The sequence below is a fragment of the Homo sapiens genome, chromosome 15 (assembly GCF_000001405.40).
Source record: "Homo sapiens chromosome 15, GRCh38.p14 Primary Assembly".
Lineage (NCBI taxonomy): Eukaryota > Metazoa > Chordata > Mammalia > Primates > Hominidae > Homo > Homo sapiens.
Genome location: NC_000015.10, coordinates 80430566 through 80451049, shown reverse-complemented (window position 1 = coordinate 80451049; position 20484 = coordinate 80430566). Strand labels below are relative to the sequence as shown.

Sequence of the window (20484 nt, the reverse complement as noted above, 5' to 3'; positions counted from 1 at the left end):
AGAGCATTGCTCAACATTTATTAAGCCAATTCCTGGAAACGCTGAGGTCGCTTACCCGGAACGCCGCTTTCCTCCACGGGCAGGCATGGCCCCCGCCATCCTCACCTGTCCGGTGGCCGCCATGGGGGCAACGGGCAACGTCACAGATCCAGGTATGTCTGAAGCCATTTCTGGAATTCAGCAAAGACAAGAGGTTTTGTCAATGCCAGAAAAGCCCAGTAACGGGCAAGAAAGTTGTGATACGGTACCAGAAGCACCACCTGCGCAGAGAGCCCAGGGACCTGCATCCTGCGGCCGCTCTGCCATCATCAGCTATGTGGCTGGGGCAAGTCTTTCCTCTTTCTCTGGAAAAGGGTATCTCTGGCAGTACTCTCATATTTACTGATTGGAACAGTGGTTAAACAGTTTAACCACAGAATTAAACAGAATTAAAAGAGCTTAGCAGCTTTCATAAGGGACTCCTGTCTCCTGACCACCTGGAGGCAGGTAAGATGCAGAGGAATCCGAGCAGCACAGCTAAGGCCTGAGGGAAAGAACCAACTCCTGGTAACCCAGATGGGGCACACGCCCTGAGAGGCAACGCCCTGCTGCAGTGCCCGCCACTGCCCCTCCGTTGCCCTAGGTTCGTGTTCAAGCAGAAAGGCTGGTTGCCACGCCTACTCTGGACTCAGAAGCCCTGAGTATCTGAGCCCTGCTTGGCCCCTCTGTTATTGACGAAGACAGTGAGCTCTAGGGTGTTAAAAGCATCACTTCAGGCTATAGCAGGCCAGGCTGAGGCTTCCTGGATCTCCAGAGCTGGACCTTTTCAGGAATAAATATTAATTTAAAGAATAAGAAGGTCTATTACTAAATAAGAGTACCTTTCCTGCACATTGTGGCCAAGACATTATTTCTTATAAGCCAGATAATTTTGGAAGCTCGTTAAGGTCATGTTAAGCATCCCTGATTTCAAAGAAACCACACTAAGCAGTCTCTCTTTCCTACTTAACGGAGAGCTCCTAAGCTCAGGCACCCTTTCCCAGACCATTCCATGACTCGACAAATGTTTCAAGTGGCCTCTGTGATTCTGTTTACCGTGGTTGGGAACGACTTCCACAGTGTTAGCTTTTCTTAGCTCAACTTTTACCCAGGGGAAGAAGGGAAGCAGCAATCTACAAAAATATATATAAAAGATGGGTCAGGATACATAAGGAATCTGGGCCCTTCTTAGTGGAGAGAGATGCCTGGTGATGTTGACAGTGCATGGTTGGTGTAGGCTACTGCTCTGTTTCCTTTCAGTAGAACTCAGGGAGTCCTGTGACAGTTGACCCACAGTTACGCCCCAAAACACTGTATGTTTAATAAACACATTTGAAGCTCAACTTGAACTATCCCACTCAAAACTCTTGAAGAAGAATTTTACAATACACAATACAATTTCACAATAAACAAAAGCTTAATTTAGTCATCTTGCTATGTCCACAAAACTTGGGGAATGATTACACTTTTGTTTTGTTTTTTAAACCAAGGTACACATCAAAAAGTCCTCAAAGAAAAAAAAAATCCTCCTCTTAAAGTAATTCTCTCCCCTTTAGACAACTGAGTTTGTGACAGCTAGACAGTATTAAAAGCAATAACCCAACAACTTTATCATCTGCCTGCTTTGATAAAATATTTATATTTTTCTGAAATGGAGGCTAAAACACATTGAGTCCATTATGTCCCCAAACTGAAGGGCAGAATCACTGTTACAGCAAAGACAGATGACAATGAAAGTCACTACTTTCTAAAATAAGTTCCACAGAACAGCAGCCCCTTAAGATTCTCCAAGAAACAGAGTTCCATGGTCAAATAAGTTAAGAAAAAAGCTGTGCACTTACCCCCTTTCTTGGAGATTCCAACATCCACTAAAAACATATTGACAAGTCCTACCTATATAAAGAGGATTGCTTAACTTCGGTTATCCCAGTATATCATAAATATCTCTAATTGTGGAAACTTTAAAAATGGATCACCTGCTCAGCTAATGTTCTAAGCAGCACAAGTTTTGGTTTTTTGTTTTGTTTTGTTTTGTTTTGTTTTTTTTGAGACGGAGTCTCACTCTGTCACCCAGGCTGGAGAGCAGTGGCGTGATCTTGGCTCACTGCAAGCTCCACCTCCCGGGTTCACGCCATTCTCCTGCCTCAGCCTCCCGAGTAGCTGGGACTACAGGCGCCCGCCACCATGCCCGGCTAATTTTTTTTGTATTTTTAGTAGAGATGGGGTTTCACCGTGTTAGCCAGGATGGTCTCCATCTCCTGACCTCATGATCTGCCCACCTCGGCCTCCCAAAGTGCTGGGATTACAGGCGTTAGCCACCGCGCCAGGCCCAAGTTTTGGTATTTTAAAGCCATTACCTCATTCCTGCCTTCGAGTTGAGGAAATTTCAGGCTGGAAGAGATCTTAGCCATTGTTGGTAATCCTAGAAATGTTGTCATCCCTTCCCCGTTCCAATCACCTGAATTTAATTTGGGTAAAACAAAAATGCCGATAGTTTTGGCAATATAAGTTGAAAAAAGTAAAGCTCCCCAAAACCTTGGCTGGTGGGGCAAAGGATGAGGAACACTGAAAACCAAGTCCTTTCTTTCCTCCAACAGATGAAGGGAGCAAGGCAAAGAGAGATTAGATGACCTGCGTGGGTGCCCACAAGTGATCTTTCTTTTTCTTGTCTGATTTCATGTCTAGTTTCTTATTTTCACGTCCTATTTCATTGGCCAGAACTTTCAGAGCAATATTGAGTAAAAATGACCTATCATGAGGTAAAAGAAAGTCACTACCTTGCAGTCAGATATATCTGGTTTCAAATCACAACTCAAACACCTCCCAGCTATGAGTGACGGGGCTACTCTAGGTCAAAGTGTCAGCTGTGAAATGTTCATAATATGTACCTTGAAGGGGCATTTTAAAAATTAAGGACAAGGTATGTGATGAGCCTAACATAGTGCTTGGGAAAAAAAAACACTCAAGCAACAATAATTAAAATGATCATGATTATGCTGATGGTAAGCAATCTTGCTTGAGCCTTGCATTTAACTGGAATGAGCTGCTGGTTTAAGACAGACACTGTTTCTGTTGTCAAGGAATCTGCTCCTATGTCTACTTTAAAAAGTTTATTTAAGGAATGGATGCCTCATTTTATCAAATGCTATTTTTTGTAATTAAGTGTTCTGGATACTAAATAAGCCAAACAGAAAATGCAATCGATGAGACTAACATTGACTTTAAAGATAAAATATTTTCTCTAATATTGATTTTTAGGAGCCACCCTTAATAAATTCAAACAAAAGTGAAAAAACAAGTCTCTCTCCTCTGCAATCTATGTCCGTATCTATAATGTGATCAGCTGTCAGCCTTCCCTGGAAAAGTCTGGCACCCGCTTCCCAAATCTGGCATCTTTTCTCTGTGACTCAAGTCGAAGCAAGCAAAGTTCTTGGGATGTCCATCCAAAGAAGGTGGCTTAGGAAGGTCCCTGTTCAGGTTGGAGGTGACAGTCCCAAAGACAAGGCCTGGTATCAATAGAGCAAAGTTGGCTAAACCTTCAGATGAAGAGCAGCCCTGCAAGCCAGTTGATGATGTGCTCCAGGGTTTCTGAATTTCACTCACCAAGAGAACTGAACACTGCACTGTATAGGGAGGAAATCACACTTTGGATACCTCCAGGGTGGCTGTGCAGCCACCACCATACCCTGCAGCTGTGGGTATTCATGAGTAGAGCCTTTCCAGAGGAGAGCTCAGCAGTCTGTGTCAACAGACATTAGAATATTCATGCACATGTACACCCCTGACACACAGCAAACACACTCCCCACTGTCCTGGACCTAACACAGACATAGCTTCTCCCTTGCTGTGATGGGAGATGAGAGGAAGGGTGTGTGTGTGTGTGTGTGTGTTATATGCACAGAAAAAAGACTAGAAGGCAGATAGAAACACACTAATATGTTAAACTTGGCTATTCCTGTTGTGAGAATTATAGGTGGGTTTTATTTTATCCTAAAAGCTCTTCTTGTTTTTTTGAATATTCTAATTTTCTCCCAATGCATGTGTTAATTTAATGATATGTCAATTGAGTGATCACAAATAGAATAATACTTTTTAAAGGGTTTCATGTGGAAGACACAGGAGAAAGTATATATAACTGGTGAGAACTGGAAGCAATGAATGAATGAGACAGAGACAGAGGAAGGGGAAGCCCTTTTTAAATAGTAAGTGTCCAATAATGGGACGGATTGGCTTAAGAACAATGATAAAATTTTACCTAAACTAAGATTTATGTTGGGTACTGACTGTGTTTCCAGCACTCTGCCATCTTCTTTGCACAAGCTTTACATCCACCCTATAAAGTAAATGGAAATTCATCCCATTTTACAGATTAGGAAACTCGGCAGGGACCGGTCAGCCCTGTACCCTGTAACATGGCTAGTGAAGGGCAGAGCAGGCTCTTACGTGTTTGGCCACCCACTGTGGGGTCCCTGTCCCTTGTGGTGCCCAGGCGGAGGCCAGGTGGCTAGGCAGATCCTTCCCTGGGGTGGCAAGAGATGTGCTAAGGCCACGATTCTCAATCACAGGCCCAGATGAAAGTTGTATGGCACGTAGGACATGTTCATGCTTTGGGGTCACTCCATCTAGCCATGGGGTCCGTGCGCAAGCTATTGAACCTCGCTAAGTTTCAGTCTCCCCCTCTATAAGATCAGGAAAATACTTACATCACACGGTTATTGTAAGTATTAAGGAAAGCCAATTATTTATCATGTCTAGTAGAAGAAATGTTCCTTCTCCTCTGTTACTTTCGCCTAGCACAGAACGTCTTTTCCAAGCAGACATTATACCTGTATGTACGTGTGATCTTTATATAACCCTTGAGCAAATTACTTAGCCTCTCTGTGCCTTGGTTTTCTATCTGCAAAATGGGGATAGCAACGCACCTCCTGGAGTTATGAGGATTAAAGAAGCTAATCGTTGTAAAGCACTTAGAATGATGCCTGGCACAGCGTAAGCACATGTAAGTGTTCAATAAAAATACACACACACAGATGCTAACACCACTTAGAGTCATTTTGCTATGGTAAGGACTTGAGTCACTTTGATAATGTTGCTTTTCTGGTTCTAACTCACAGGAGTGCAAGAGAGATCAGAGGGGCAGAGGGGGCAGAAGGCCCTCTGGACTCCTCAGCACCCCACTCGTAACACGATCCCCCACGTGAGGCTGTGGCCAGAGACAGAAGGAGGAGCTGCAAACCCCGTGAGCCTGAGATGAGGTGCTCCATCTGTTCCGACCTCCAGTGGTCCCTCTACCCAGAGTCCTGTCTCTGCATCAGCTGTCAGGCCCACCCGGATCTCAGGAGGGAGTGCAGACCCCACTCGGGTCTCCCTGTGCGGAGCTGAGTCCTGAGCTGGGAGCCTGCACCCAGTCCATGCTGCACCGGCCTCCTCCATCCTGTCTCCCACCCACCTCCTCTCAGGGCTTCATGCACCAACACACACGTCACACACCACTCACACACACACATCATCACATCAACACACATGCATACCACTCACACACACCACACACCCCCACACACGTCACTCACATCAACACACATACACAACACTCACACACACCACACACATCCCCACTGCTCTCAACACACATACACGACACCTGCACACACCCTACACACTCCACATACACCACTCACATCAACACACAAACACACCACTCACACCACACACCCCCACACCACTCTCGACACATATACACAACACCTGCACACACCCCATATCAACACACATACACATCACTCATACACACCCCACCCCTCCACACCACTCTCAACACACATACACAACACTCACACACCCCACACACCCTGCGTACACCACTCACATCAACACATATACACACCAGTGACACACACCACACACACTCCATACACACCACTCACATCAACATACACAACACTCACACACATCACACACACCACTCACATCAACACACGTACACACCCTCACATACATGCCACACACACATCAGTCACATCGACACACATGCACACTATTCACACACACACGACACACACCATTCACACACAACACATCACATACCACTCACACAACCCACACTCCCCCACCATTCACAGCAACATACATACACACCATTTGCATTCACACCAACACACCACACACACCACTCACATCACTCAACACATACACACCATTCACACACACACCACACATATACCACTCACAACACACATACACACCATTCACATACACACACCATTTGGACACACCACACACACACCACTCACACCACTCACATCAACTCATACAAAGCATTCACACACACCACACACACACCACTCACATCAACACACCTACACACACCACTCACACACACACCACGCACACACATCACACATCATTCACAAACACAACACACATTGCTCATACACCAATCATATACACACACCCCCACACACCACACACAACACAAACCACACATGCACACACCATTCACATCAATAAACACACCATGCATACACCACACACATGCACCACTCACAGAAATCTCACCACACAAACCACTCAAACCAACATACACACCACACACACACCATAAACACACATCACACTACTCATACACATACCACAGACACCTCTCTCACACCACACACACACACACACACACACACACCACGTACACACAAACCACACACACCGCCCACCCCAGACCTGACAGGGAACAACTTCCTCCTCGCTGATGGTAAGCTTCGCCTGAGCGGGGAAGTGTGCCCTCCATTTGTCACAGCCCTGGGACCCCACAGCCCTACGCACCCTTCAGAAGGAAACCCAGGGATCCTGGACAAGTCATCCATCCCCTCTTGTTTCCAGTTTGTCACGGGTAGCTCAAGCAGCGCCTGGCAAGGAACTCATTTGAAATGGGCGTGAAGAACAGGACCCTCACCTCGATTTCCCCATGCAGCTGAGGGTTTGCCACATTTGGAAAAGACAGGCATCTGGTGCAGCATAGAAACATGAACACATTCTATAACACACATCAAAATTCAAATCAATCTCAAAAGCCAAGGCCGAATTTTCCATTACACAAGGAAAAGTAATCCGCTCCCCTTCATGAAGCAAAACCACCAAAGAGCTGCTTCCCCTTGCTGGTTCCTCGCCTCCCATGCTTCCTTCAACCTTCTCTCGTCTGTCACCCCACTAGAGAGCTGCCATCGTCACAAGGCCACTCTTGTGAAGGCAAACAGTGGCTCTTCTGCCCCTGACCTTCTATGGGGATGTGGCCCCCTGCTCTGTCTCAAGCATTTTCGCCTGGTTTTCCAGGACCACGTCCTTCACCTCCTGCCTCAGGCCCCTCTTCCTAGGCCTCCTCTGCCTGTTCTTCCTCCTCTTCCAGACCTCAGGGCATCTTGTGCAGCCTCCTATCATATGTGTCCTCCTAGGTGAACTCATCCAGGTGCCTGGCAGCAGCGCTGCCTCCGCTGCTGCTTCTCCAATCCAATAGCAAGCCCTGCTGCTACCTCCGAGAGGTCTCTCCATCTTCTGGGCTCTGCTGCTGGCCTGCCTCAGGACGCCCCTGACCTTCCTGCATTCCACTCTTGTCCTTCCCACTCATTCCACACTCGGAAGCCACATCAGACAAGGCCAGCCCTTGCCTCTGTCTTCTAACACATTTTCTTTCCTCTTAGCCCAAACCTGGAGTTCCCTGCCATCATCAACTTGTTCTTGTGTGATCAGGCCACTGCCTACCTCTCCAGCCTACCTCTCTGGCTGCAGCCATGCTGCCTTATCAGTTTCTTGAACACACTATGTTCCGTTCTGACCCCAGGACCTTTGCATATGCTATGTCCTCTGGCAAGAAAGCTCTCCTCTCTCTCTTCACCTCATTAGTTCCTTACAGTCATTTAGATTTTGCTCAAATATCACTCCTCAAGGAGGCCTGTCTCTGAACAACCCCTCCCCTACCCAGTCCAGGTCTGGTCCCTGGTGATTCATTCTTACTGTACCTGGACTTCTCCTGGGAATGAATGAAGGTCACAGCAGTCCAGGTGAGAGATGACAAGGCCTGAATGATGGAGCCGCAAGGAGGGCACGCCAGAGGAAAGAGATGATGTCACTGCCTCAAAATAGTGTGTCGGCGTCAGATCCCAAAAAGGGAAAATTCTAAAAAACCTTGGTCACCTGATCCTCCTACACTGTATAGGGCAAAAAAAATTTTAGAGACAGAAGAAAAATATGATTGGGCCAGTTGCATATTTACAACTACCATGCCACACATGCTCAATACAGGAGGACTTTCGCAGCAAAGTAGAGGTACAAGTGCTCACACATTCCTCGGTTCATTGAATCAGGGGGCCACACATTCAGTAGCAGCCTACTTCTAGCTCTGGCTTCATCACTATTTTCCTCAGTTTCTCCTCAGCTAAGACATGGAGTTTATCAGGACATTATTTCCTTTTGCAGAGGTTGCTGTGAGAAAGTGGTCTCTGTTTCAATTATAAGCAGCATTTGCAAAGCTCTTCTTTTGAGCCAGGGGCTGTGCTAGAAGCTGAACGATGGTCAGAGATGAAAGGACCCAATCCTGCCTCTGACAAGTTCAGCTTAAGTGTGATGGAGGCACAGAGCCTAGTAATTTCACACTGAGAAATGCATGCTGTGAGGGATGCTGGATACCATGTGGTGGGGAAGGCTGGGAAGATCTGAGAAGGCTTCCTGGAGGACACCACCCCTATGCTAACCTGGCAATGGACTGCAAAAAATGCTCTGGGAGGAACGAAGTACGATGGGAAAGATGCCGTTTCCTAAAAAGCGTTCCTTTGACTGCTCCAGAATTTCTGAGCAGAGTCATTTAGCCCCCTCTGAGGGGTATGCTTTCTTGTTCATTTCCAGTCCCTGGAGATTTCTGGTCTTTTATCCCAACTGCAACTCCCTACAGATCGAGAGTTATTCCCCCACTCAAATGCAACGCTCTTGTCTAGATCTCTGCTCAGATCCCTGATCATAACCGATGGCAAATGCACAAATAGACAGAAATATCTGTATTCGCAGCAGTCTGACTCCAAATGCAAATATCCCCTCAGGAAATTGTTTCCCATTACACACAGAGGGGAAATGACTGTCTGCTCTTAGGCAAAGTTGGAATGAGGTTTGGAGCTCATTTAAAAATCAGTACAAGCTAAAGATTTTGTAAGGTTCACCGTAACACAGAAAACATATCTGGCTTATAATGCAGCATCTAGCTACAGACTATTTCACATTTCAGATGCAGACGTACTGTGTAGAATTCCTATAATACAGTGTAGGCAGCGAAAACCTGGAAAAAACGTGGAACTTGAGAGCATTACAGATGAAAGGAACAGGAGGAAATGGAAAAAAAGACATCTTGCTCTCCCTACATTTCATGTGAATCCAAGTAAGAAAAATATCCCCTGATCTTTACATTGGGAAAAAATCAATTACATGCAAACTTTCACAACATGACAACACACAATATTTTAATGGCCATTCAAATAAATGAAAAACCAAAAGGCTCTTTCCATGGCTGGGAGGGGGGTGAGGGCAGGCAACTAACCAAAGAAAAACGCTCTTCTCAATATTCATCTCTCTTAGAACAATTCTCTTCACAGAAAGCACATCAAATATCACAGCCCTACCTTTTCAGAGGGATTAAACAAAGATCTTTCTTCCTTGTGACCAACACCTTCTTAGGAGAATCTGTTATCCGTGTAGAAGAAATGTCAGAAACCTCTGGGAGGAAATGTAGCTGCATTTGTATTCTGCTGAGAAAATGTCATCACAGATCTGTTTACCTTAACTGTGGACCATGATTCAGCCGTGACAACTGTCTTGCATACTGATCAATTTATTTGCAGCAAAATTTCTAGCATTAACTGCTTAGGTTCTGAAAAATCGGTTACTTGGATTTCCTATGAAACCATAACAAATGCATATTTGAAAAATCTAGATTCTTATCCAAACATTTTAGTGAGAGATAATAAAGGATTTTTCTTGAAGTCCAAGCAAGGGAGGGTCCCTCTTACTTCTGGAATGAAGACAGGGCACATGATTCCCAAAGGGCCTCCATGGGGTAGCATTTTTATAGCACAATGTACAGAAAATCATTAGACTGAGAATCAGAGAACTCTGACTGCAGATCCATGCTCGGCTTTAACCAGCCGTGAGATCCTCTGTAAGACATTCTTTTCTGATCAGCAGGCTGGGCCAAGGTCTCTGCAATAGAGAAGAGGATGGCCACTGGACCTGGGAAAGCAAGAAGAGGCCAGGTCCTGTCTCCTCTGGCTGGTGCTTCCAGCCTGGATACCGAGCCCTGGATGCCTGCCTGAGCCCCTTCTAGTAGGCAGGCAGGTTTTGGCATTAGGGAATTGAAACCAGTCCCAAGGCAGCCCGGGGAGATGCCCTCCCACCTCAGCTAACAGTGCTGGCTCAGGTAGAGCTCTGGCTCTCCTCTGGAACAGGGGCACTGCACTACAGCACACTATGGTGTCACTCCCCATGTTCCCACTAGTGTCCGAACCCACTAACTCCAGCTTCCTTCTCCACCCTGTGGGCTGAAGTCCTGTAATCTCTGTGCTGAAATTTGTAAAAGGAGTAAAAATAAAACAGACCCAGCAAGAAGATGGGTAACCAGTAATTCCAATGGAAGAAAAGTGGAGAGGCTGCTGTCAAGGATATGATTCTGGAGCAAGACAACAAGGATGAGTGACCCATTCAACCTGCCCCACTCTGTGCGAGATGACCCCACAGGTCTAACTGCAATGAGACATCCACCCATGACTTGTCTCATGCTTGAGTCAAACCTAGAAGCCGCAGACCATCAGAAGAAAGTGTGTGTCATCAATCACACAGAAGCCAGCCCAGAACATCTAGGTTGGAAGGATTGGTGTCCGTCAGTGAACTGAATGTCCCTAATGAGGTCTTAGAAGGAGTCTCAGCCAAAACCTAGACTCTGGCCTACCAAGACCTGAGTCTAGGGAATCAGGAGCCCTGTGCAGTAAGACAGACCCTGAAGGAGAAAGTGCAAGGCATGGGTTGCTGGTGGAAGAGTACACAGGAGGGTTCAAAGCTCTGATTCTCCACATTCAAAAATACGAGAAAGAACCATGGGATGGTGAAGGGTTCACTGAGGAGGACCTGCTAGTGAGACACAACTTGTTGGCCTGGAGAGTCCTTGAGGCAGAAGGAGGGATAAAACTGTCTTCAGATACCTGAGGGACCTTCCTGTATAAAAGGGAAGAGGCCAGTTCTCAATGACTGCAGAGACCTCTTCACAGTGGCTGAGGATATGAAAGGTAGGGGAAAGAAATGAATGACCAAGATGCATGTTGACTGTCCAAAGGCAGTTGGAAGTTGAACAGAAACCAAATGAACTAACAAGTCTGACATAAAGAGAAAAGCTCATAACTTATGGAATACTCCCAGATAAAAATTACTTAACCTTTAAATATCATGATTTCAAAGATAATGTTATAGGAAAATGCTAAGAGTAAGTTAATGGAGCAGGATACAGAATCATATATGCAAACATATTTATCAGGGACCCATCAAAGTTCAGCTTCAGCTACACTATTTGCCCAAAACCTATTATTTGGCCATGGCTTCTAAATGAATGCCTTGGCCTTTGAAAGGACAAACAGTCAAATACCTATTGCAAGATCATTTCTGGCATCCCTGAACTTGTGCATGATCAATGGCCTTACGATACTCAGGTCACCACCATCTCTACGTCTACAGCATAACAACATCAATACTACAAATAAGCCATGCCACATGAACTTATTGCTCAAGTCCGCATGTTCACTTTCAAATGTAAATCTGCATTCTAGATGTACTCAGATTAAAAAGCTCCTTGTATGTATGATGTATTTTGAACTCTCCCAGTCAGATGGTGTATAAATATAAATATTATTGCAAGAATGAAATGTGCAGTAATCTTTGACCATATGGTAAAAGCTATTAATTTTATATGCAAAATTTGTGTGCAAATCAATTATCAAGAACTTTAACAAATAGTTACATTTAATAGGAAGTGAGGAAATAATACAAATATTAAGAGACAACACTTTGGGAGGCCGAGATGGGCGGATCACGAGGTCACGAGTTCGAGACCAGTCTGGCCAACACAGTGAAACCCCGTATCTACTAAAAATACAAAAAATTAGCCAGGCGTGGTGGCGTGTGCCTATAATCCTAGCTACTTGGGAGGCTGAGGCAGGAGAATCGCGTGAACCCAGGAGATGGAGGTCGTAGTGGGCCGAGATTGCACCACTGCACTGCAGCCCACGTGACAGTGCCAGACTCCATCCCCCCACCCCAAAAAAGAGGCAAAACATTTGCTTGCTACTTTTACAAAGACTGTCATATTCTTTCTGAGCCAAGATATGTACAGAACCATAAATACTACTATAAAACAGAATAAAAGAGATTATTAGTGTATATTATAAATTATGTCTTTGTGGAATTGTTTGGTATGCTGGCCTTCACAACAATAAACAATCTTTAGGATTTTAAATTTTTCTACCTGTTTCTGTTTAGACCATGCATCTTTCAAGAAAAAGTCTTATTTGGAATCCTTCATATCTTTATAAGGACAAATTAGTTGCCAAGTTTATCAACTGTGCCACCTCAAAAATTCACAGGGGAAAAAACCTCCCATATCACACCATAACATCTGTAGTAAATCATCACCAATGCAGACATAATTAACAAAACCAACGTAGTTCATTCCTCCACCAAACTCAGTTGCAAACAAATGTCTATATTTAGTATAATAAATTGCAGCATGGTAAGCACAGGAGTATCTAGCAGCGGGCAAGGTCTAGATACAACTGTTTCTGACTTAGAGTTTAACTTTACAATGTGAGGAATCCTAATAAATAAAAATAACATAAGAACAATACCTATTTTTGTTAGAATGTCATATTTTCATTCAATGATTCAGCATCAGCCTCAATCACAGCCAAACATAGATGCTCAGCCATTCAGCATTAAGGAAAACTGAATTAACTCAACGCACCTCTAATATGTGTACATCCAGACAGAGAAAGAGACTCTGTGTGTGTGTGTGTGTGTGTGTGTGTGTGTGTGTGTGTAGGTAAATACATTTTAAAAAGGAACAAAGCTAATAACTGAATGGTAAGACTACATAGGATTTTTACTGCCCACTTATTTTCTATTATCTCTGTGTTTTAAAAACTTAGAATATAATACTCTTATGATCAGGAAGCAATGCAAGTGATGTAATCGAAGGTAAGTGAAATGCTCGGCTCTGTGGGCAGGCTGCGTGGGAATTGGGAACACAGAACTGAGGGAGGGGAACAGAAGCCGGCAGTTGTGAAATGGTGTAGCCACCTCCAGCTGAGCAAACTTCCCTACAGGGATGGGACAGAGGTGATGAAAGGGGGAAAAGGCAGAATTTGAGGCTGAAATAGCTACTGAGTTTCAAAGAGGTGGCAGGCCCTGAGCAGGCTCATAAATCCACATGGCAACACTGTGAAAGAAGCATCATTATCACTGTGTCCTGGGTGTGATCATATTCAGGGTTTTCTGATTAGTACAGTAGTAAATGTGCACGGTAAAATATCTGAAATACTCAGGAAAGAGTAAAAACCGGGGAGATGAGGCCACAAAAGAGGAGAGAAGACAAAAATGGGATAAGAGAGATGGAGTGGGTGAGACTCTGGCAAAGAAAATATTAAAAGATGAGTTATTCAAGGTGGGGGAGACACCGCCACCAGCTCTGAAGTCGGGGCAAGAGGTAACAGTGGCCTGACGAGCGTGCAGTTCCTCCTGTGGCTCCCTTCACAACCTCGTGACTTCTTGATGCTAGAGCAGTGAGGAGTGAAGGCCCACTTCTCTCCACAAAGGGTAGACTGAGGTTATTCCATGGCACAGTATAAGGCCCTGAATATACAGAAAGGAAAGATGGAGCCCATCGAGAAGGGAGAAGAAGGACCAGCAAACAGCCAGGACAAGCTGTGTGAAAAGTGACACAGCAGGTAAATCCAGAGAGCTCTGGGAACCAGAGGTGCCAAACAGCACAAACCAGGAGAGACCATCAGTGGGACGGATGCAGAAGGCTCTGGAGGAGGCAATAAGTTCGTGGATTCTAAACACTGTTTAACCAGGAAGTAACAGACAAGGTGAGTCAAGCTTGAGTCATGCCCGCTGGGCTCACAGATACCCTGGCCTTCTCAATTATGCAAAACCCACACCTTTGAAGGAGAGTGGGACAAATACTAAATCAGATAGCATGCAGAGACGTTAAAATCCCAGGCACAAATGAAGACTGTCCACATAACCAGGGACATGTGCCCCTTCTCCACGTGTACTGATTGTTGTCCAGACACAACGAGAGCAGCTACCATCCTTCCTGGTGCCAGGGCCCACACAAGTCATGAAGCAAACACAGCCCCCGCCAGGATACCAGATGGTTAATCATCTGGAGGATGTGGGTGTCCTGGGAGTATCACTCCTAATTTAGACAGTGGACAGCAACATGCACTTCCTGTACATTTAACTCAAACCCTATGGAGGTGGCACCACGATGGGGACACCTGGATGGATGTAGTGAAGGAACACAATACAGTTAGAATCCCTCACTTGCTGTGTGTTTCTGTTTCCCCAGGTAGGAGGAACTCCCCGAGGTCAGGAAGCAGTGTCTATTCATTTGTCGTATGGAATCACCACACCCTTCAGTGATGGCCATGCTTTCCTTGTCGCCTTCTTTGAGATTGAGTGGGCCCCACAGAACGGCGTTCCCAGAAGCCTTGGTGACTGCTCAGATCCCAGCTGCTTTACCTGCCAGCATCCTGAAACTCAGTAAGATCAGAGTCCAGACCTCGTAAGATGTTGAGACTTCACCTACCGCTGCCCCACCCAGGCTGATGAAGCATCAATCCAAGATGAAGGGGCCCATCCCTGAGTCTGTAGGTAAAAGTGGTGGGGGAAAGCTGAATAAGGAGGGGAGCTGTGCAGGGCGGGGGGGAAGGATGAAGGAGGGGATGACTTGGGCTGTAGGAAGTGGAGGCTTCCGGTGCAGTTAGCTGAAGACAATGTGCTCACAATTGCACATGTGCATGGCATCGTAGCTGGGACGCACTAGCCATTCAACACATTTTTTTCCTTTTTTTTGCCCATATCTCCTCAAATTCCTTTTACCATCAACACATATTTTTGACACGGATGAATAAATGAATCAATGAATGGATAAATTTTGCTCTGAGTGCTGCCCTAAGAGGCACATACAAGGTTCTCAATTATTCAGGTGCAAAATCAGTGCCAAGTGATCCACGGCCATTTCAAAGCTGTCTCTGAAGCCCACACGCCTCCCACTTCTAAGCCGGTAATGGCCTTGGACAGCATATCCTTAGTACTGCCTGCTCCTGTGGACAGAGGGAGGGAGGGAACCTGGCCTCTGAGCCAGAGGAATGTGAGAGGGCTGTGGGGTCAGCAATGTGCATGGGAGGGGGGCAGCTGTTTGGACTGGGAGGCAAATGGTTCTATGGGAAGGGGTGGGAAAGGGAGGACCAGGGCCCAGGATGAAAGGAAGCCAGTTCAAAGGCCCATGCAGCCTCCGCTCAGCAGCAACGGACCTTGCTGCTTCTGAAGCAGGGACTGACCCAATAACGGCTCTTCTCAGGAGGAAGTTACTATGCCCGCAATCCTGGAGGCTCAGGGTTCTTCAAAAGTGAGAACCAAAACTTAAAGGGAAGGGTACTCTGTACTGCCAGCCTCCATCACTCCAAGAGGGAAAGAGAACCTCGGGCAGAGCTGGCACCTATGGAGGAGGCAATGGGGTGTCCTGGCTGAGAAAAGGACGAGGGCAGGCAGAGGGCAGGAGGTGTGTGGCCAGGTGGCCCGATGGCAGTGCTGGCTGTTGGCTGTATCTGCAGACACTAAGGGATTGGGGAGCTCCCTGGAAACTGGGCTTCAGTGAGCGTGGAGAGTGGTACAGGCGACAACCGGTAGGAGGGGAGAGTGACCCCAGACATCCCAGTGGTTTACCCGCAGGTAAGGATCCAGGTGCTGCCTCTCAGGAGCAGGAGTTGGAAAACATAAAAGGAGAAGGTGGCCTCAAACAGCTCCCCTGTTGTATCCATCTCCCACCCACCCTGCGCCCAGGACCTCAGAAAGATTCAGGAAAAACTTCCATGAAAGTACCACTTCTTACCTATCTTAACCCGAGCTCCTGGCTTTATCTTTATTTCAATCTATTATCCTGCTCCTGGACATCCCCTCTCCTTTTCCTTCTCTCTTCCACTCCCCGTTCCCTGCCTCTCCTCTGCTCCCCACTCCCTCTCCCGGTCTACCTGTCCCCTCTCTTCCTCCACTCACTTGCCGATTTTCTCTTGATCTCTCACTGCATCCCTTGCTCTCTGTCCCCACTCCTTTGACCCCTCTGGGCATCTCTGAGTCCTACTAATGCTCTGCCTCCCCGACAAAAAGCACAGATGAGCTCACACTCACACCTTCACACAAATGCTTTCTTTCCTAGGTCTCTCTTCTCTGGCTTTGTCACTCTGGACTTTGCTTCCGGCTTCAAGTTTCTAGGTGTAATATGTGAAGATTAATGGCAATGAAGCAAACGTGCATAAGAAAATCCACGCAGCAAAGGCAATTCCGTTATTCTCAAGTCCATAGATGCCCAGTGTGACATTGTGAACTGGAGAAAAAGGAGCACTTCCTGTTCAGGAAATCTTGTAAAATCATAAATGTCAGGACTCAGTCAACAATACCCCAAAATGAAGGCCTCAGAAGCATCCTCAGAGGAAAAATTTATTTCTCTGATCTTCTCTTGCCCTCCTGTCTCTTAGCGCCATTCTCCCCTGAGGCTAGACACAGACACTAGAATCCCTCTGCCCCAGGGCAGGGCATGGAAGCCAGAAGCCTTTTTCCCCAAAGCCAGCCATAAAACTTAAAGATGTCACTCTAACTTTCCCTCTGCCTTTCTGTGTGAAAACTGGCCATAAAGAAACTATCTGCCCTACCTTGTTTGACTGAAGGTCATAAGACCCTCATTCCAGAGAGGGTCCTGCCTCATACTCAGAAGGAAGGAATGCACGTTCAGCAAGGCCAAGAAGAATCTAAACAGACAGGCCTTGCTGAGTTTCCCCACTCAGCCGATTGACATTGGATCATGCCCTTTTCGTCTAATCCTATATCTACACGGCTGTCCATACTTTGTTGAACATAAGCATAAAAATGGTCAGTTTCCTCTGTATCTTTGGGTCATTCTGAAGGTTCTCATGTACACATTAATAAAATTTATACCCATTTTCTCCAATTAACCTGCCTTTTGTGAGTTGATTTTTCAGCAAACCTTCAGAAAATGAAGAGGCTTTCCCTTTGCCCCTCCAGTAACAAAATGGTATCTCATTCTCTAAATACAATTATTTCTATAAAATGCCTTTTCTAGGCTGGGTGTGGTGGCTCACGCCTGTAATTCCAGCACTTTGGGAGGCCGAGGCGGGGGGAGGTGGTGGGTGGATCACTTGAGGCCAGCAGTTCAAGTCCAGTCTGGACAACATGGTGAAACCTCGTCTCTACTAAAAATACAAAAATTAGCCGGGCGTGGTGGTGTGCACCTGTAGACCCAGCTACTCGAGAGGCTGAGGCAGGAGAATCACTTGAACCTGGGAGGCAGAGGTTGCAGTGAGCCGAGATCGCACCACTGCACTCCAGCCTGGGCAACAGAGCAAGACTCGGTCTCAAAAAATAAAATAAAATAAAATAAAATAAAATAAAATAAAATAAAATAAAATAAAATAAAATAAAATAAATAAAATATAGTGCCTTTTCTAAAAAGGAAAAAAAATGTGGGCATACCCGCTGTTTACACAACAAATTGATTAAGGAACTCACATATCCTTCCACAGATCTAAAATCCCCTTTAAGAGGTTTTATGAAACAAAGTAGTTTCCTTGTTGAATATATTCCTTGATGAATATATTCATCCATCATTCACCAAAAAAACATTTTGTGTTAAATTTTAAACTGTGAATTACTCTACAAATATAAAATATATGCAAAACAGTAAAAATGTTTACACACAAGGCATTAAAATCTGTTTTCTTTTCAAAGCAGTTAAGGTGTTATTTTTATGCTATTTGGTACTATAAACCAAATGGGATGCTCCTCGATGTCTTAATTTATGCTTGGGACTCCAATACTTGAAGATAGGGGAGCATGAGCTTCTGGAGGAGAAAAAGGCTGTGGGATTTCCTAGCACAGGAGGCTGAGCTGTGATGGTGAGACCATACCTTCTGGTTATAGAGGAGGACAAGCTCTCTGTTCATGGGAACATTGTTGTGTCTCTCAGAGGCCTCAGCCCAAGCAGAAGATCCATCTCCACCTGCACCACCTAAGCCACAGGTTGGCAAACTTTTTCTGGGAAGGATCAGAAAGTAAATATTTCAGGCTTTGAAGGCCATAAGGTCTCTGTGGCAACTACTCAACGCTGCAGTTATGGTACAAAAGCAACCGTAGACACAGTCTATAAATGAGTGGGGGTGGTTGTGTTTCAATGCATGAGCACTGAGATTTGAATTTCAAATAATTTCCACATGTCATGGAATATTCTTTTGGTGTTTTTTTTCCATCAATTTAAAAATGTAAAAATTATTCTCAGCTCATGGCCCATACAAAAACAGGAGGCAGGGCAGATGCAGCCCATTGGCCATAATTTGCCAACCTCTGATCTAAGCATCAGGTCCCAGAAAATTCAAGAAGAGGCGAGAAATCTTCTACCTCTAATTCAGCTGACCTGATGGCAAGACACTGCCGTTCCCCCCGTGCCCCAGAGACGCAGGTGAAGGGCTGGTGCGGGTGCACTATTTCATCAAAGTCCACACCCTCCAGGGAGCAGTAGTTGAATGGGAAACAGATGCTGCATTTTTACCTATTGACAGTAGGCCCTTAATCTTTGCAGCTGAGCTTTCAGGAGACAGCAGCATCAATTCTCCGTGGAGAAAAACTTTCACAAGGATCATGGTCAGTTCCATTGGGCCATTTAGGCTGACATACCTGAGCTTGTCCTGGAGGAAAAGGAGGAGCGGCCCTGGGCAGCGACCCCAGAATGGCCGGTTGCTTCAGAGAGCTACTTCAGCTGAGAGCTACTTCAGCTGCTCAGCCCCCTGCTGGGTGCTCTCCACCAGGAGGTCCTGAGAGAGGGCTTCGGCCACCAGGGGGTCTTTGAGGAAGCACTGGAGGAACAAAGCCCACCCTCAGCACCAAAAGGGAGAGAGCTGGTAGGCCAGTGTCCCCTAATGAGGATCCCTGCTGGATAAGTAGGGACAACAACCGGTAGCCTGGAAAAACAGCCAGACAGGAGGCAGAGACAGGGGCCTGCCCAGGAGGTCCAAGGGAAGAACAGACAATCACGAGAGGAAGGTGGGCCTGTCTGTAAGGACCCCTATTCCAGCCGCTTCAGACTATCTTCCGGCCCACTCCCCTACTACGGCCCATCCGGGAATGGCTTCGGGACTTGGAGACAGGACAGGCTCAAAGGGAGCCAGGGAGCCCTCTGTGCCCTCTTCAGGACCCTGAAGGGAAGCCTCATTGTTACTGGGAAAGGAGCAAAAGGGATTTCAGAGGGAAGTGGTTGGCAGGAGCAAGGTCAGGAAAGGACCTGTGCTGTGGAATGGGAGGGGGTGGATCTGATCTGGCCATAACCTGGGCATGGCAAGAACGATGATTACAAATGCTCTATATCCCACTGCCACGGTCCCAGTGATACCCCTGCACAGAAGAGCACCAGGCCCTCGAGAAGAACATGCAGAGAGGACAGAGGGGGCGTGCTGTTCACAAGGCCCAAGGCTGTGGCCTCCCGAAGAAAATGTAAGGTTCAGGATTCTGGTTTTGTTTTTGTCTTTATTTTGAGGGAATGGGGTGGTGGTGGCAGGTGGCTTCAGGGGTACATGTAAGTACCTGAGCGGTGTCCATTGCTTTGTGGGGGGATCGTGACATTGGATTCCAGGAAGGATATAAATGAAGATAGGCAGACTGACAGCTGGTGGGAAAAAACCCTGGGACAGAATCTGGGGAAGGAGAGTGCATGGTTCATCACCACGTACATGCACCACCCAGAACAGGGCCCAGCACACAGCAGGTGCAGGGCAAGATCATAGGTTAGTCCACTAAGGGAAGATCAGTGCTGGATTTGCATATCTGTGCCCACTGCTGCCCTGGACAGGCTGCCCAACTGCTGTCAGGGTTCTGTGTATTGTGGGAGAGAGGATAGGAGATTGCGTTCCTTCATTCCCACATTTCCCAGTTCCGATTACTTCTCTGTCACTAAGGCAAAAAAGACCACTAGAGCAAAGAAAAACCCTGAGGTCACAACCAACACCCATGAAGAATCAGGCAGATTCCAGCCCTTCAGAGACAGGAGAGTGAGAGTGCAAAGAAGCCAGCACAGAGGGACTGAGGCTATTTGCAGCTCCCGTTGAG

The 20484-nt window shown here is 46.2% G+C and overlaps 1 protein-coding gene across 1 annotated transcript in view, besides 2 other annotated features; it reads right to left on the bottom strand.

The window, feature by feature from the left end:
- Nucleotides 1-20484, bottom strand: part of ARNT2 (aryl hydrocarbon receptor nuclear translocator 2) — a 193552-nt gene that overhangs the window by 146884 nt on the left and 26184 nt on the right. Inside the window, exon 2 of the mRNA NM_014862.4 lies at nt 56-170. Coding sequence (NP_055677.3) covers nt 56-170 — 115 coding nt within the window. The remainder of the gene's footprint in view (nt 1-55; nt 171-20484) is intronic.
- Nucleotides 13858-15057: an enhancer, noted in NCBI's record as "P300/CBP strongly-dependent group 1 enhancer chr15:80728334-80729533 (GRCh37/hg19 assembly coordinates)". NCBI's record gives its function as "activates an origin of replication core promoter dependent on BRD2, BRD4, P300/CBP, MED14 and CDK7 cofactors, with strong dependence on P300/CBP, by STARR-seq in HCT116 cells {active_cell/tissue: HCT116}" and the evidence as "EXISTENCE:reporter gene assay evidence [ECO:0000049][PMID:35650434]".
- Nucleotides 15383-15882: an enhancer, noted in NCBI's record as "H3K4me1 hESC enhancer chr15:80727509-80728008 (GRCh37/hg19 assembly coordinates)". NCBI's record gives its function as "activates a minimal SCP1, AML or CMV promoter by ChIP-STARR-seq in naive and primed H9 embryonic stem cells {active_cell/tissue: H9 hESC(naive and primed)}" and the evidence as "EXISTENCE:reporter gene assay evidence [ECO:0000049][PMID:30033119]".